This window comes from Homo sapiens, chromosome Y (assembly GCF_000001405.40).
Source record: "Homo sapiens chromosome Y, GRCh38.p14 Primary Assembly".
Taxonomy (NCBI): domain Eukaryota; kingdom Metazoa; phylum Chordata; class Mammalia; order Primates; family Hominidae; genus Homo; species Homo sapiens.
Genome location: NC_000024.10, coordinates 12,781,435 through 12,798,490, shown reverse-complemented (window position 1 = coordinate 12,798,490; position 17,056 = coordinate 12,781,435). Strand labels below are relative to the sequence as shown.

Here is a 17,056-nt window from a genome sequence, read left to right as displayed (position 1 = left end):
TCCAAAATCATTTATTTTAAAACAAGACAGTACAGGTTGACCATCGCTAATAACAAAAATTAGAGGTGTTCTCTAACCTGAAACTTGAGGGCTGACACAAGTGAAAAACTCCATCCCTCAGTCTTAACGCAATCTTTGTTTCACGCACAAAACGAATACACAAAATTACCTTCATGAAGATAGATGAAAAATAAATGAATTTCCTGTTTAGACTGGTTTCTCATCACCAAGATATGCAAACATTCTAAAATCCAAAACACTTCTAAGTCCCAAGCATTTCAAATAAAGGATACTCAACCTGTACTTCTTAACTTATAAGACCAATACTATTCACCTAACAAAGCTAGACAAATATTTTTTCGAAAGAAGGAAGGACGGAAGGAAGGAAGGAGGGAGGGAGAGAGGGAGGGGAAGGGGGAGGGAAGGGAAAGGGGAAGGGAAGGGGAAGGGAAGGAGAAGGGAAGCAAAAGGGAAGAAAAAGGGAAGGAGAAAGGAAGGGAAGGAGGGAAGGGGAAAGTAGAGACCAACACAATACCTTTTAACAATGAGGACGAAGATCTGACTTTTTATGTTGCCCAAATTCCTGTCTAAAGGGTCTGGGGAGTCATTCCCTACAAATCATAAATCCTCATCAGATGGCTTTTATTTAACCCTATATATCGTGACTTACTTTTCAGTCTGACTCTGGCATAACATTACGATACAAGGAAGAAAATCAAAATATTTTACCCCAAAACATGTTTCTTAGCCATATCTTGAAACAGCTCTGCAAAGCTTTCCTTTGTGGGAGAAAACCTGCATCTGTTAAGAATCTCTATTAATATAGCCAAGTGTTTTTCTTCCAAGCCCTGTCAATCCTAAAGAGATTAACTGAAGGTCCAGCACCTTTTCAAGATCTGAATAAAAAACATTTGTCATTTATTGTCTCTAAGGGCAGCCACTGTAAAAAGACTTCACAAGAACCTTGGTCTCCACAATCTTTTATCTTAACCTGAACATGTGCTTTCTATGATCCCAGGTCTTTGCATAAAACCAATTGTCAACCAGAAAATGTTTAAATTTACCTATACCCTGGAAGCCCCCATCACCCGCTTTTGAGTTGTCCCGCCTTTCTGGACCAAACCAGTGTATTTTGTACATGTATCTGATTGATGTCTAATGCCTCCCTAAAATGTGTAAAACCAAGCTGCACCCCGACCACCTTGGGCACATGTTCTCAGGACCTCCTGAGGGCTGTGTCACGGGCCATGGGCACTCATATTTGGCTCAGAATAAATCTCTTCAAATATTCTATAGAGTTTGATTCTTTTCATTGACAACAATATACATGCAAAAATCCTCAATAAAATACTAGCAAGAAATCCAGCAGCATATTAAAAGTACAAGGTACCACGATGAAGTGTGGGATTTATCAAGAACGTAAGGGTGTTTAAACATATGAATTGATTCCTAATATATTGTCAGAAGCCTCTGAACCAGAACAATTCCATCTTGAATAGGGGCTAGGTAAAATAAGGCTGAGATCTACTGGGCTGCATTCCCAGAGGGTTAGGCATTCTAAGTCAAAGGACGAGACAGAGGTTGGTACAAGATACAGATCATAAAGACCTTGCTGATGAAACAGGTTGCAGTAAGAAAGCCAGCTAAACCCCACCAAAACCAATACGGCAATGAGAGTGACTTCTGGTCATCCTCACTGCTGCAGTCTCACCAGCGCCATGACAGTTTACAAATGCCATGGCAATGTCAGGAAGTTTACCCTATATGGTATAAAAATGGAAAGCATGAATAACCCAACCCTTGTTTTGCATATAATCAACAAATAACCACATAAATGGGTAACCAGCAGCCCTCAGGGCTGCTCTGCCTTTGGAGTAGCCATTTTCTTATTCCTCTACTTTCTTTTCCCCTGCCCCTCCCCCACCCCTTCCTGACAGAGTCTCACTTAGCCGCCCAGGCTGGAGTGCAGTGGTGCAATCTCAGCTCACTGCACCACCGTCTTCCAGGTTTCAAACAATCTCCCGTCTCAGCCTCCCAAGTAGCTGGGATTACAGGCACCTGCCATCATGCCTGGCTAATTTTTCTATTTTACTAGAGATGGGGTTTCACCAGGTTGGTCAGGCTGGTCTTGAACTCCTGACCTCTGGTGATCTGCCTGCCTCGGCCTCCCAGAGTGCTAGGATTACAGGTGTGAGCCACTGTGCCCGGCCTATTCCTCTACTTTCTTAATAAACTTGCCTTTACTTTATGGTCTCACCCTGAATTCTTTCTTACATGAGACCGAAGAGTCCTCTCTTAGGATCTGGATCAGGAATCTTTTCCAGTAACAGTATCATCAGAAATACAATAAAGAAAATAAGGCTTAAGGCTATCTCAATTGAGTCAAAAAAATTATCCAAACTAATGTAAACACCTTTTCATAATAAAACTGATTTTGAAAACTTGGAATACAAGAGAAGTTTCTCAACAGCATAAAGGCCGTATATGAAAAACTAATAGCTAACATGGTCACAGGTATTCGAACCAGAGCGACTCCCACAGGAAGTCCACACAAAATGCAGGTCACAAAGACCCTGCTGATAAAACAGGATGCAGTAAAGAAGCTGGCTCTTTGTACGCTAAATATAATGCATTAGCTTGCGAAAAGACACTCCCACCAGCGTCATATCACTTTACAAATACCGTGGCAACCATCCAGACTTTATCCTATATAGTTCAAAAAAGGGAGAAACCATCAGGTGGGTTGGGAGTGGGGAGCAGCAGATTCCCACCCCTTTCCCAGAAAACCCATGAATAATCCACTTGTTTAGCACAAATAAACTTTGTTTCGCATGTAATCAAGAAATCACCACAAAAATAACCAACTAGCAACTCTCAGGGCTGCTCTGCCTATGGAGTAGCCGTGCTTTTGGTTCCTTACTTCTCTATAAACTTGCTCTTATTTTACTCTGTGGACTTGACCCAGGTCCAGGAACCCTCTCTAGGGGTCTGGATCAGGAATAACAACATCACTAAATCGTGAAAGACTAAAAGCTTTTCCTCAATCAGGAACAAGATAAGTACGCCTGCTCTTACTACTACTAATCAAGGCAGTAGAGCATATAGGCAAAAAAGGGAAGAGATAAATTTGGTCCAAAAAGGAAAGAAAAAGTAAAACTATGTTATTTGCAAGTGGCATGATCTTACTGTAAAAAAACCTCTAATTCATAAAGAAATTTAACAAAATTGCAGGATAAATAAAATCAATATAAAAAAATTAGTTGTTTTGATATACTAGCAATGAATATCCCAAAACAAAATTAAGAAAACAATTCCATCCACAAGAGCAGCAAAAAGAGTTAGCACTACAGTACTTAGAAATAATTTCGCAGAGAAGAAATAAGAGTGTTGAAGAAGTAAACAGAATCTAAGTAAATGAAAAGACATCCCATGTTCATGTCTTGGAAGACTTAATACTGTTAAGAGGCAATCACTCTTTTGAGAGAGATTCAATGCAATATCCAGCTTAAAATTTATATGGATTTTTATAGAACCTAGAAGGTCCAAATAACCTCAAAAACAAATAAAAACCTAGGCAAAACCAAAACACAAACAAACTAAAAACCCCAACAAAGCTGAAGGACTTATATTCCCTGATGTACTAATCAGGAGTGTGGCATTGGCCTAAGGACAGGCATATAGACCAAAGGAATATAATTTAGAGCCTAGAAACAACCCCTTGTATCTTCAACAAGGTGCCTAGACCACTCAATGGGGTAAGACCATGTTCATCATGATGGGAAAGCTGGATATCCACATTCAAAAGAATGGAGTTGGACACTTAGTTTCACATCATTCACAAAAATCAACTCCAATTGGATGAAAGATCTAAAATTAAGAACTATAAAAATAAAAAATTCTTAGAAAACAATGTAGGAGAAAATAGCTTTTGCTCTGGATTTGCCAATGATTTCTATACTGAGGATGATGGAAACACAGGAAACCAAAAAAGACATAAATTAAACTTCATGAAAATTAAAAACTTCTGTGCATAAAATAACATTATCAGCAGAGTGGAAATAAATCCTGAAGAATAGGAGAAAATGTTTGTAAATCATTAGTCTGGAAAGGAATTAATATCCAGAATATATACAGAAACTCACTACAAAAATAATCAAATTCAATAATGCTATAAAAACTGGAAGATACATTTCTCTAAAGCAGATATACAAGTGGCCAGTAATATCACAAGAGCCAATGCTCAATATCACTACAATAGTCATAAGGAAATGTAAATACAAACCACAATGAGGTTACATCTTACATACGTTAGGATGGCCATTAACAAAAGTGAAAATAGTGTGGGAGAGGATTTGGAGAAACTAAAGCCTGTGTAAGGTGAGGTTGGGAGTGTAAAGTGGTGAAGCCAATGTTAAAAAAGTTCAGCAGATCTTCAAAAAGTTAAACACAACTTACCCTATGACCCAGCACATCCATTTCTACAAATATACTCAATAGCTCTGAGAATAAGAACTCAGAGATCTGTGCTCATAGTAATATTCACAATAACAGTAATCAAGAGCTAAAAGGTAGAAATAATCCAGGTGTCTATCAACAGACCGATGTATAAACAACATCTAGTATACACATATGAGAGAGTATCCCCTGAAAATGAATCAAGTTCTGACCATGCTACAACATAGATGAACCTTTAAAACATTATGCTAAGCTAACAAACTAGACACAAAGGCACAAATTTGTGTGATTTCACTTATGTGACATACCTAAAATAGGAAATGCATAGAAACTAAATGAATATTTTAAGTTATCAGAGATTGGAGGGTAGTGAAAATGGGAGTCATTAGTTAAAAAGAATTTGTTGAGGGTGATAAAATATTTTGAGGGTGATAAAATATTTTTGAGATAAAGCAGGAGTGACTGCACAATATTGCAATCATTCAATATACACCAGTCATAACTGCACAATATTGTGCAATTAATGCCACTGAATAAAGCTAACTTAAAAAAGAGGTTAAAATGGCTAATTTTGTGTTATGTATATAATTACATGATTTACTACAATAAAAAAAAGTAAAAGAAAAAAATCAATGCTGGCATCTTGCAGAGAAAAAAATTCAGGTTAACTGGAAATGTTTTTAAAAAAATGCTTCTACACTTCAAGGTATTACATGGGCAAGTAAAAGGGTTCCTTCCTTCACTTCTGGAAAAAAATTTTCTTCAGAAGTCATTCATTTCTGCTTGGAACGGTAAGGTAAGCCTTCCTTCAAATTACACATAAAAATCACATACTTGCTTGGACAGTGCAATAATAAGTCAATGATGAAGGTCTGCCAGGCTTTTTCTTTACTAAGTGCATCCAACGCTGTTGGAAGTAAAGCAAAACATAAGGTCATCACTTCCAGTGCTTCACAGCAAACTTGTTCATCTTCCACCTCCAGCTTATTGCTTCCATTGGTGGTCTGCAAAATTAGAATCAGGAGCAAGTTACCTAGAGACATATTCAAGAAGAAATTCACAAACCCTCTGGTTAACATTTACAATTGCCTACTTGGTAAAGACCATGCGGCCTCAGACTCTTCACTTGCGGCTAGAGAGGCTCTTTGGGATATACTCCAAGGGGGATTTAAGAAGCACATTCAGTGATAGGTACTCCTCACTTTTCATGTTCTTCTGGATGTGACTGATCTGCCTCAATCATAACTGCTACTACAGAATCACTTTGGCACTGCAGTTTGGGTCTTTGAGTAGTTCTATTGTAGAGCCTACCTACAAGTCATTTCATTCAAAAATTGATCATAATACAAATGTTCAGGAAGCCTATGGAAGACTTCTGCAACCTAAAATATAACTAGGTAGCTAATAATTTTTAATCTGTCACTATCCATCAAAATGTAACTAAGACTTGTACGTTTGGAACAGAATAACCATTCAACTATTCCTAAAACGGAAGTTGTATAATGCCATGACACACTTTCTCATTTTAACTATACTAATGTATATTTAAATACACTAATGTATATTTTAATGGAGACCATCAGGGTTCTATATGGGTAGGTAAACACCACAGACAACAAAGAGCTAAACAGTCTTATTTCTGTAAATAGCTTGCTTAATGTACCACAAGGCTGGTGATAATACCTAAATGTTAGACACTCTTCCTGCTGTTGAGTGTTCTAAAAGAACCACGTAAAATGGATTGATTGATTGATTGAGACAGAGTCTTGCTCTGTCACCAGGCTTGAGTGCAGAGGATTTCCACTCACTGCAACATCTGCCTCCCAGGTTCAAGTGATTCTCATGCCTCAGCCACCCATGTAGCTGGGATGACAGGCATGCGCCACCATGTGTGGCTAATTTGCCCCCTTCCCCCGCCCCCCACCTGCCGGAGAGATGTGGTTTCACCATGTTGACCAGGCTGGTTTTGAACTACTGACCTCAGGCGATCCGCCCACCTTGGCCTCCTAGAATGCTGGGATTAACAGGTGTGAGCCACTGTGCCCGACGCCAGGTAAAATTTAAATGCCATAATTCCCAAAGAGACAATTACCAAAAATTTACACAGGACAAAATCAAGAAGAACTAAAGAAAATAGGGAGAGGTGGATTCATTACAGTATAACTATATTTGAGTCAATGAGAAGTCTTTTTAAAAAAGTAGGAAAAGAAAGCTGCCTCATAGCAGGCTTCTAGAGTATTTTATTTCCAAAATAAAACAATATATTCTCATTTTATTTATAGGTAGCAATAAATTTTAAACCATTAGATACAAGCGACTTGGTCTATAAGGTGACAGAAATGATGAAAATTTAATCACATGTACAATGAAGCAACATTTTCTTAAAAATCTATTTCTGTAATAATTCTTACCATCTGATAAATTTTAGTTATTTCTTCATTTGGGCTAAAAACTAGTCCTAATGCCCCACATGCTGATGCCCAGATAATTTTCTGTATAGCCCTAATTACACAAATATCAGGCATATATCTTGAAGCCTGCAGAAAAGAAATAAATAATTAAAAGTGCTGGCAGAACATTAAAGTGAATAATCAGGAAAACAAAATATTTCTCTTAGTGAAAGAAGTGGAAATGGAAGTAAAAGTAAACATGCATCAGACCTGCCTTTAAGGACCAAAGTTCCCTTGTTCTCATTTTTTTAATATCTTAACATTAAGTCAAAAAATATGGCTTCCCATATGAACGGAAGACACAGCAATACCCACCAAGTATGCTTCAGGTTCAAGTCTGATATGGCTTTATCCTATTTTTCATAAAATTTTAAAAATAACAACAGTCAAATTACTTAGCCATGCTATGCAGAGGTGTTCACCCAAGAGATATAAAAATGTATGTCCACAGAAGCACTATGACTTGATGAGTTACCCAAAAATTTTATTCACAACAGTCAAAACTAGACTGTTGTGAATAATCCAAATGTCCATCAACACACGAATGAATTAGCAACATGTGGAGTAACCATACATGGACTATTACCCAAAGTGAAATAAACTACACACATATATAACAACATGAATAACTTTCAAAATTTTGCTGATGGATATAAGCCAGACCCAAAAGAGTACAACGTATATGATTCCATTTATGTAAAATTTAAGAGAATAAACATCACAAGAAAACTTCTGGAGCCATTATAAACGTCCTATTCCTTGCTTGTGTGAGCAGTTTAAACATATACTAAAACTTATTTGATCTAGTTTGTGCAATGTAAATTATAACTCAGAAAGCTTATTTAAAAATTTCAAAATTTCTAAAGCTCTAATATTAATATTATCAGCAGCTATCAGGTCAAACATAACTTTATGAAATTTTAAATAAATTGAGATAGAGACTAAAGTGTTTTGGGTCTACAATATTTAGCCTCAAATTCTCATAGCTTAATTTATTTACGTGTTAAGTAGAGATCATTCAAGATCCCAGAACTGTCTAACTTTCATACTAACCTCATTAGATATTTCCTGAGCAAGAAGTATGGACTCATTTCTAAGTACGCACTCGGATGAGGGATTAGGAATGCTCTGAAGGGCACTTTGTAGCACCACTGCTTGATCATGAGTAACTTGGTTAATCTGAAAAAAGTGAATCATTTTACGTCAAATGAAAAAACTGTATATACCATAATCCCTAAAATTTTTACATTAAAAAAATTTTTACTCCTCATCCATCACCACTTCCTCGGCATGTTATTCCTTCACTTACCCCTGTGGAGTTTATGGGGGTTTGCATAAAAATTATTTCACATTGCCAACATTATGGAGCTGTCTTTCAAAGTGATAGACGTACGGAGGTGTTTACCCAAGAGATATAAAACCATATATCCACAGAAGCTCTATGATATGTTGATGAGTTTCCTAACAGTTTTACTCCCATCATCAGCCAAAACTAGAAACAATCCAAATGCCCATCAACAAACGAATTAACAAAATGTGGAATTACCATGCCTTGAATATCGAATATTACTCAAAGTGAAATAAACTACACACGTAGTAACACCCTGGAAACTCCAATTTGAGATGAATTCTATTATTTCTGCACTTGGGCTCATTTGCAGGGGATAAATGATACAACATGTCTCTGGGTAGAAACTTCTCCTGGTCCCCCTTTGCCACAGGTGACTAGGCCTACCATAATACAATGGAGAAAACTGAGGATACCATTAAACAGTCCTTTAAAATCTACAGACTTAGTCTTTAGGAAGCTACTTATTTTGCCCAAGGCTGATTATGCCACCTGCATTCTAATGCTCATTTCACAGACAGGCTAAAGCTTCTCGCAGCTTAACCTATTATCCTCTCTACCGCTGTTATTTACACAGTAAAGTTTTATTTTATTTTCTTAAAATTTGAGACAGAGTCTCAATCTGTCACCCAGGCTGGAGTGCAGTGGTGAAATCTCGACTCACTACAACCTCTCCCTCCTGGGTTCAAGCAATTCTCCTGCCTCAGCCTCCCCAGTAACTGGGAATACAGGCACACATCACCACGCCCGGCTAATTTTTGTATTTTTAGGAGAGACAGGGTTTCGCCATGCTGACCAGGCTGGTCTTGGACTCTTGACCTCAAGTGATCTTCACCCCTAGGCCTCCCAAAATGCTGGGATTATAGGCATCAGCCACCACACCTGGCCTAAAGTTTAAAAAAAGTTTAAAAAGACCATATTAAAACAGATATTTTAAGAGATTCGAGAGCCTGGGGGAGATGTTACTGCAACTGTCAGGCGGTCAAAGCGTTAAGACTGAACAAATCAAATACTTCCAGCCACTGTTTCCAACTTCAACCAACGAATTTTAAAATTTAACTGTTATGTACATATTATTTTCATTTTTCAATAAAGTTTTCACAAACAATTTGCCAAGTGATACTACATAAAATTTCACACACAAAAAAACTAGTATTGCAAAGGTGGTAAAAATATAGTTTCCAAGTCAGTGGCCTCATGGAATTAAAAATTTCAGCTGGCCGGGCGTGGTGGCTCATGCCTGTAATCCCAGCACTTTGGAAGGCCGAGGTGGGTGGATCACCTGAGGTTAGGAGTTTGAGACCAGCCTGCCCAGCATAGTGAAACCTGTCTCTAGTGAAAATACAAAAATTAGCCGCGTTTGGTGGCACGCGCCGGGAGTCCCAGCTACTTGGGAGGCTGGGGCAGGAGCATCACTTGAACCCAAGAGGCAGAGCTTGCAGTGAGCCAAGATGGCGCCCCTGCACTCCAGCCTGGGTGACAGAGTGAGACTCCGTCTCAAAAAAAAAAAAAAAAAAAAAAAAAAATCTCAGCTGACGGTTATCATTTTGGACCAAGCTACTTCATGGCTCCAGGTCTCAATTTTCACTTACTAAATAGAAAGTAATAGCAGAGGCTCAACAAATATAGCTGTCTTCGTGATTAAAGGAGATAAAGCATAGTGACTGGCATACAAGAAACAGCTCAATATATTTTGACCATTAATATCCAATAAATTTAGAAATTATGTGAGGTCTACATGCATCTCTAGCAATTATCTGTTTTATACTAGGTACTAAGTACATACATAATATCAATTACTTGTTGAATAAAAAGTTACACAATGCTTTAAAACTGCAAATTGAATTTTGCTAATCCAACTAGAGTTTTTCATGTCAGCAAAGTCTTGTGTCACTTGTTCTTACACCAAAATTGTCTTGTTAACATTACTGGTAATATATTAACTCTCTAATTCAACTCAGTAGCAAAAGAAGGATTAGGAGTGCTCCAAAATGCAAAAATAACTGTGTTTACTCTAATACTGGCAGAACCAAATATTCTCTATTCATAACTTCTCCATGGAAAGGAATTATAGTAATCAAGGATTAATAAGTGTGGAATGTGTAGAAAGTACTACAACATCTTACTTAATAGCATAAAAAGCTTTTAAATCTATGAGAGAAACCCCTCAGAATTTTCTTTGCGTTTTCCAATTTCTCAAAAGGTAACCTCTTGTACGTATTGTAGACAGTCGTACATTAAACATATTTTAAAGACTAATTTTCCTTAAGCTCCTTACCAGAATATGATTAGAGATTATTATGTATCTCTGTGTCCTTTGGTAGCACACTTCTTAAACATGCATACAGAAAGAAATATGTAAAAAGATACAAAAAATATCTTGTTTGTATTTCAGTAAACTCCCATAACAAGGACCATAATAAGAACCCTACCTTTTTTTATGTAAATATGCATGAAGCCCACAATATAAAGCAATAAAACTTACTCAGGATGGAGACAGAGCTTTGTAAATTAATATCTAAATTGACATGTACAAGACCACTTTCTTCTTTTTGTCCTTTTTTTGAATGAAACATTTCAAAAAATATATAAAAGCAGATAAAAGAATATAATACATCCTCAAATACCCATTATCTAGCTTCAATAATTATTAACAAATGTTTAAACTTGTTTCACTGACTCCCCAAGAAACAAACCCAGAATTATATTACCCCAGAATTATTTTGAAGCAAACCTGAGACATTTTATCTTAGGTCAATAATGACAGCATGACTCATACCCAAAATAAAATTAATCAGTCTAGAATATACAGATAATCCAGTCACTATCCAAATTTCCCTAATTAACACCTCACATATATCTAAATGTAATAATCTGTATCCCTGAACCATTTTATCTTCAAGCAGTAATTAGTAAAACCATCCTTTATAACATAAGTGAGTGAACTCAATTTAGTTAGAACTGAATTCATCTTTTGCATCCAATCTAAGCACTTCTTGAGAACTGTTGGTGATGCTGCTCAAGGCTAACAGCAAAGGAGAAAGAGATTCACAGTTGTGGGAAGAGAGGTTTGCTGCATGGCAATTATATATTCTCCTTTATGACGAACTGTCTTTATGTATCTTTTTGGTATGACTTAACAAAAGATTCAGGTGAAGTTTTCATTACACTTTAAACAACTGAAAGTAAAAAATGATTTAAAGAGACTGGGAAGTTCACTCAAAGTAGGATAGGCAACAGTCAATCTTTACATTTTTAATATAAATACAACTTAATCAAAAAAATCCCTAAGATAATATGCTATCTGTTGAATTATTTCCATCATCTACTTAAAAGTTTACATTTATTAAATAGTAATAATTAATAATTATTACAGAGTTTACATTTATTAAATAGTAAGGACTAAATATTTTTAAAAGTTTCTTAACATTTATTACCTGTGTTATGGGGTCTGTACCATCTACAACTGGCTGACAAGCTTCTGCTACAGCTCGAACATGGCCATAGCCAATCGCAGTTAACAACAGTTTGGCTATTTTAAGAGCATTTAAATAAGCACCCCTTCGAGTTTCCATATCTGTATTTGGCAAGAAGTTATTTCTTATTAGCATACTCAGTACAAGAGGTAAGCCACCACTTTTCAAGAAGTGAACTTGAAAGTCAGAGGACCCATCAGTTAGAGGCACACCAGCAGGCATTAACAAGGCATAAACTACCTGGAAAAAAAAAAAAAAAAGGAGAGTATATTAAAAGGGATTTAAAAAAAAACTTAGTAACATCTATTTCTCCTCTGATCATTGCTAAGAAATTCGACTATTTAAAAAACTTTCTTTACAGTCTTATCAGTGTTCTTCACATTACCGTATAATATAAAAATTACATTTTTGCAAAGGCAAAAACCAACCTCTGTTAGGTATAGAACTTGGGAGGCAGAAGGACCAAAGAAAAGAGAGTCAAGGGGTGGACTAAGTTTGCCTTCTCCAAGTTTTGCATGGTCCAAACAAACAGCTCGTAATTTTTCTACAGCTGTTCTATCTGCAAAGGAAAAAGACACAGACTAAAATAAAGTGTAACTCACGTGTTATTAATGTTTCACATTTGCCATTTTGAAGAGTATTATCTTAAATAAATAAAAATTATATCCACAAATCTCATTAAGCTGAGATCAAATGTTACAATATATAACTAGAACTGAACTGACTGATTAGTGATCAATCAGGACTCCTTAACTGCCAACACAAAATATGAAGGGAAGGGTTTCCTATCCAGAGAGTTCAGATCAATAAATCCTCCTTCATCCACTGCAGACAGAAAGGAAAAAAAAAACCCAAAACCAAAAACTGGAAAGAGAAATAATACAAGCATTGACCACATATAATTGAATAATAAAATGACAAATTATCAATTAAAAATGAGCAAAGGATGTTAACAGACATTTCTTCAAAAATAGATAAATGGCTAGGAAGCAAATGAAAAATTGCTCAGCATCATTAGCCATCAAAGAAATGCAAACAAAACCATATTAACATCCCACTTCAACATCAGTAGAATGGATAACCAAATCAAAAAAACATTTAAGTAGTATTGGTGAAGACGAGGAGAAACTGTAACACTCCTACCTTACTGGGAGGATTGTAAAGTGGTACAGCCACTTTGGAAAAACTTGGTAGCTCTCAATAAGTTAAACATAGACTTACTGTCATCCAGCCATTTGAGTCCCAGATATAAAACCTAGAGAATGCAAACATAAGCCCCCAACAAAACTTCTACACAAATATTCAAGGAAGTATGGTTCATGGTAGTCAAAAGCTGAAAACAACTTTACTGTCCATCAACAGATGAGGGGATCAACAAAATCTAGTATACACAAACCGCACTATATTATTCAGCCTTAAAAACAAAACAATTCTGCCACATGCTAAAACATGATGAACTGTGAGGACATTACTGAGCGAAACAAGCTGGTCACAAAAAGAAAAATACTGTATTATTTCATTGGCATGAGCTACGTAGAGCAGTAAAACTCAGAAAGAGAAAGTAGAATGATGACTTTGAGGGTAGGGGAGCAGGAAGAAATAGAAGAGTTGTTTTTAGTGGGTACTGAGTTTCAGCTTTGTAAGAAGAAAAAAATTCTGGAGACTGGTTGCACAACAATGTGAAAACACTTATTACTAATGAACTATACAATTTAAAATGGTTAAGATGATAAACTGTATGGTAACTTTTCCACAATTTCTTTTAAAAAGTGAATTGCCTGATGGTAATAGTCAGAAGGCATGCAAGCCCAATTTGAGAAATATTGTACAAAACTGGTCTTTTTCAACAATGTCAATATCATCAAAGGTGTTGTAATTCCTGATATTGATAAATTCTTCTGTGGTTATATAAGAGAATGTTCTTGTTCTAAGGAAACACACTGAGACAGTTAGGTAAAAACACAGGTTATGTGTAACTTCCTCTCCAAATGTTAGAAGAATTATATGGAGGAAAGAATGATACAGCAGGTGTGACAACATTTTAACAGTTGCTGAATCTGGAAGTGTATATGGAAGCACTCTGTATTATTCATGATGACTTTAAAACTATTACAATGTCAAAAGTTGGTTATATTTTAATAGAAGAAAAAAAAGATTCAGTGGACAGGGGCGACCATGCAAAACAGAAGAAACCAAGCAAAACTCGGTACAGGCGCTGGAGAAATAAGCTTGCTTGTTGTATAACAACACATTTCTATAATACCAATTAGCTCATTTCCAATCGGCAAAGAGGGTCATAATATTAGTATAATGTGTAAGCTAAGCTTGGCAGATGGGATCCCTCATAGGCAAGAAGAGCCAGAGAGTAGAAGTATAACCTTCAGATAGAAAGAAAGAAACCATTAGCTTGAGTGCTACATACATAAAAGCTTTCAGCTCTACCTTAAGAAATAAAAAGGGAACACCTATTCCCATCCTTGTAATGCTCTCAGACCACATCACCTGCTGATGCTTTTTATGTTCCACCTATATGGCAGTCCCTCTGTTTCAGAATATTCTATCATTCACTTGCTTTATCTCAATGCTGTTAAGCCAACAATTTCTCTTTTCATTTTGTGCATACTTAATATCTTCCAAAACAGGAGCTGGTCACAGTGAGGCATCTACCTGGGCCATCCAAATTATACACAAAGTCAGTAACTCTTATTTCTAGTAGTACTCTGCTTAAATTGTATGTTGCATGGCAGCCTGGCATTAGAGGCTGAAGCCAGAGCTAAGTGAAGAGGAGGTTATCTAGGCAAGGAAAAGGTTGGTAGAGAAGATAAATAATTGGTAACTATAGGATTAATCAAACAAGTAAATATATTAAAGAATAATACTCAGCCAGGTTTCTCACTCCTGGAGACAAAACTTTCGTATAGGGAAAGAGAAAAGAAACAAAAAGAAGCTTGTGGAACTGAACTAAAATTGGAGGTAATGGTGTGATCTCATTCATAGATAGATAGATAGATAGATAAGCCTGGCTTTATTGTGCTCTACTTCACTATCCTTTGCAGATACTGTGTTTTATACAAATTGAAGGCTTATGGTAACCCTGCATCCAAGTCTATCAGCACCATTTTTTCAATAGAATGTGGTCATTTTGTGTCTTGTGTCACATTTTGGTAATTCTCACAGTATTTCAAAGTTTTTCATTATTATCATATCTGTTAGGTGATCTGTAACCAGCAGTCTTTGATGTTCCTATTGTAACTGTTTCAGGGCACAATAAATTGCACCAGTATATCACAGCAAACTTAATAAATGCTGTGTGCATTCTGACTGCTCCACTGACTGGTCTTTCCCCATCTGTCCTCCTTCTCAGGCCGCCCTATCCCTGATATACAATAATGCTTAAATTAGGCCAATTAATAACCCTACAATGTTCTAAGTGTTCTTGTGAAAGGAAGTCACATATCTCTCACTTTAAATTAAAAGCTAGTGATTAAGCTTAGTAAGAAAAGCATGCCAAAAGCTGAAATGGGCTGAGAGCTGGATCTCTTACACCAGTTAGCCAAGTTGTGAATGCAAAGGAAAAGTTCTTGAAGAAAATGAAGTGTTGCTCCACTACACATAGGAAAGATTAGAAAATGAAACAGAATTATTGAAAAGAAGAAGAAAGCTTTAGCTGTCTGGATATATCAATAACAGCCACGCCTTCCATTAAAAGCCAAAGCCTAAACCAGAGTGAAGCTCTAACTTTCTCCAATTCTATAAAGGCTGAGAGAAAAGAAAGCTGCAGAAGAAAAGCTTAAAACTAGCAGAGGTTAGTTCATGAGGTTTAAGGGAAGAAGCGATCTCTAAAACATAAAAGTACAAGTTGAAGCACCAAGTGAAGCTATAGCAAGTTACCTAGAACATGGAGCTAAGATAATTGACGATGGTGTCTACAGTAAATGGATTTTCAGTACAGACAAAACAGCCTTGTAGTAGAAGAGGATTCCATCTAGACCTTTCTTAACTGTAAAGGAGAGATTAATGCCTGGCTTCCAGGCTTTATAAAACAGGCTGACTCTGTTGTTAGGGGCTAATGTCATGGGTAAATTTAATTTGAAGCCAATATTTATTTACCATTCCCGAAAATCCTAGGGTCCTTAAGAATTACGCGAAATCTACTTCGTCTGTGCCCTACAAGCAAAATAACAAAGGCTGGATGACACCACATCTGTTTACAGGATAGCCTATTGAATAGTGTAAGCCACTGTTGAGACCTACTATGCAGAAAAAAAGATTTTTTGAATGTATTACTGCTGATTGACAATGTATCTGGCAACCCAAGAGCTCTCACGGAGATGTATGTGGAAATGAATGGTGTTTTCATTGCTTGCTGACACAATGTCCATTATGCAGCCCATGGAGTAATTGTGAGTTTCACTTTATCACTTAAGAATAGCTGGGTGTGGTAGCTTACACCCATAATCTCAGAACTTGGGTAGGCCAAGGCAGGCAGATCACTTGAGGCCAGGAGCTTAAGACCCAGCCTGGTCAAAACAGTGAAACCCCATTCCTACAAAAGATACGATAAATTAGCTGCACGTCGTGGCACACACCTGTAATCCCAGCCACTCTGGAGGCTAAGGCAGGACAATCACTTGAACCTAAAAGGCGGAGATTGCAGTAAGCCAAGAGGGTACCACTGCAATCCAGCCTGGGTGACATAGTGAAACTGTCTCAAAAAAAAAAAGGATTACATTTTGTATGGCTGTTGCTGCCATAGACAGTGATTCCTCTGTTGAATCTGGGCAAACTATGTTGAAAGCCTTCTGGAAAGTATTTTCCCTTCTAGATGCCACTAAGAACATTCACGATTCATGGGAAAAGGTCAATATAACAACGTTACTGGGAGTTTGGAAGAAGTTGGATGACTTTGAGACATCAGTCGGGGAAGGAACTACAGATACAGTGGAAACAGCAAGAGAACTAGAATTAGAAGTGAAGCCTAAAGATGTGACTGAATTGCTGCCAATATCACAATAAAACTTTAACAGAGATGAACTTGCTTCACATGGCTGAGCAAACGAAGTGGTTTCTTGAGACAAAATCTACACCTGGAAAAGATTATATGAATACTGTTGAGATGACAACAAAGGATTTAGAATATTACACTACATAAGCTTAGTTGATAACGCAGGAGCAGAGTTTGAGAGGACTGACTCAAGTTTTGAAATAAGTTTTACTTGGGGTCAGATGCTATAAAATACTATCCCAAGCTACATGGGAATCTATCCAGAAAGGAGAGTCAATAGCAGAAAAGTTCACTGTTGTCTCCTTTTAAGAAATCAACACAG

General features: G+C 36.9%; 1 protein-coding gene across 3 annotated transcripts in view; it reads right to left on the bottom strand.

The window, feature by feature from the left end:
* USP9Y (ubiquitin specific peptidase 9 Y-linked) overlaps nt 1–17,056 on the bottom strand; it is a 159,609-nt gene that overhangs the window by 62,349 nt on the left and 80,204 nt on the right. For all 3 annotated transcript variants that reach the window (NM_004654.4, XM_047442772.1, XM_047442771.1), the window contains 5 exons: nt 12,158–12,288; nt 11,691–11,969; nt 7,959–8,084; nt 6,867–6,992; nt 5,290–5,459 (listed from right to left, as the gene is read on the bottom strand). In NM_004654.4, the coding sequence (NP_004645.2) occupies nt 5,290–5,459; nt 6,867–6,992; nt 7,959–8,084; nt 11,691–11,969; nt 12,158–12,288 (832 nt within the window). The remainder of the gene's footprint in view (nt 1–5,289; nt 5,460–6,866; nt 6,993–7,958; nt 8,085–11,690; nt 11,970–12,157; nt 12,289–17,056) is intronic.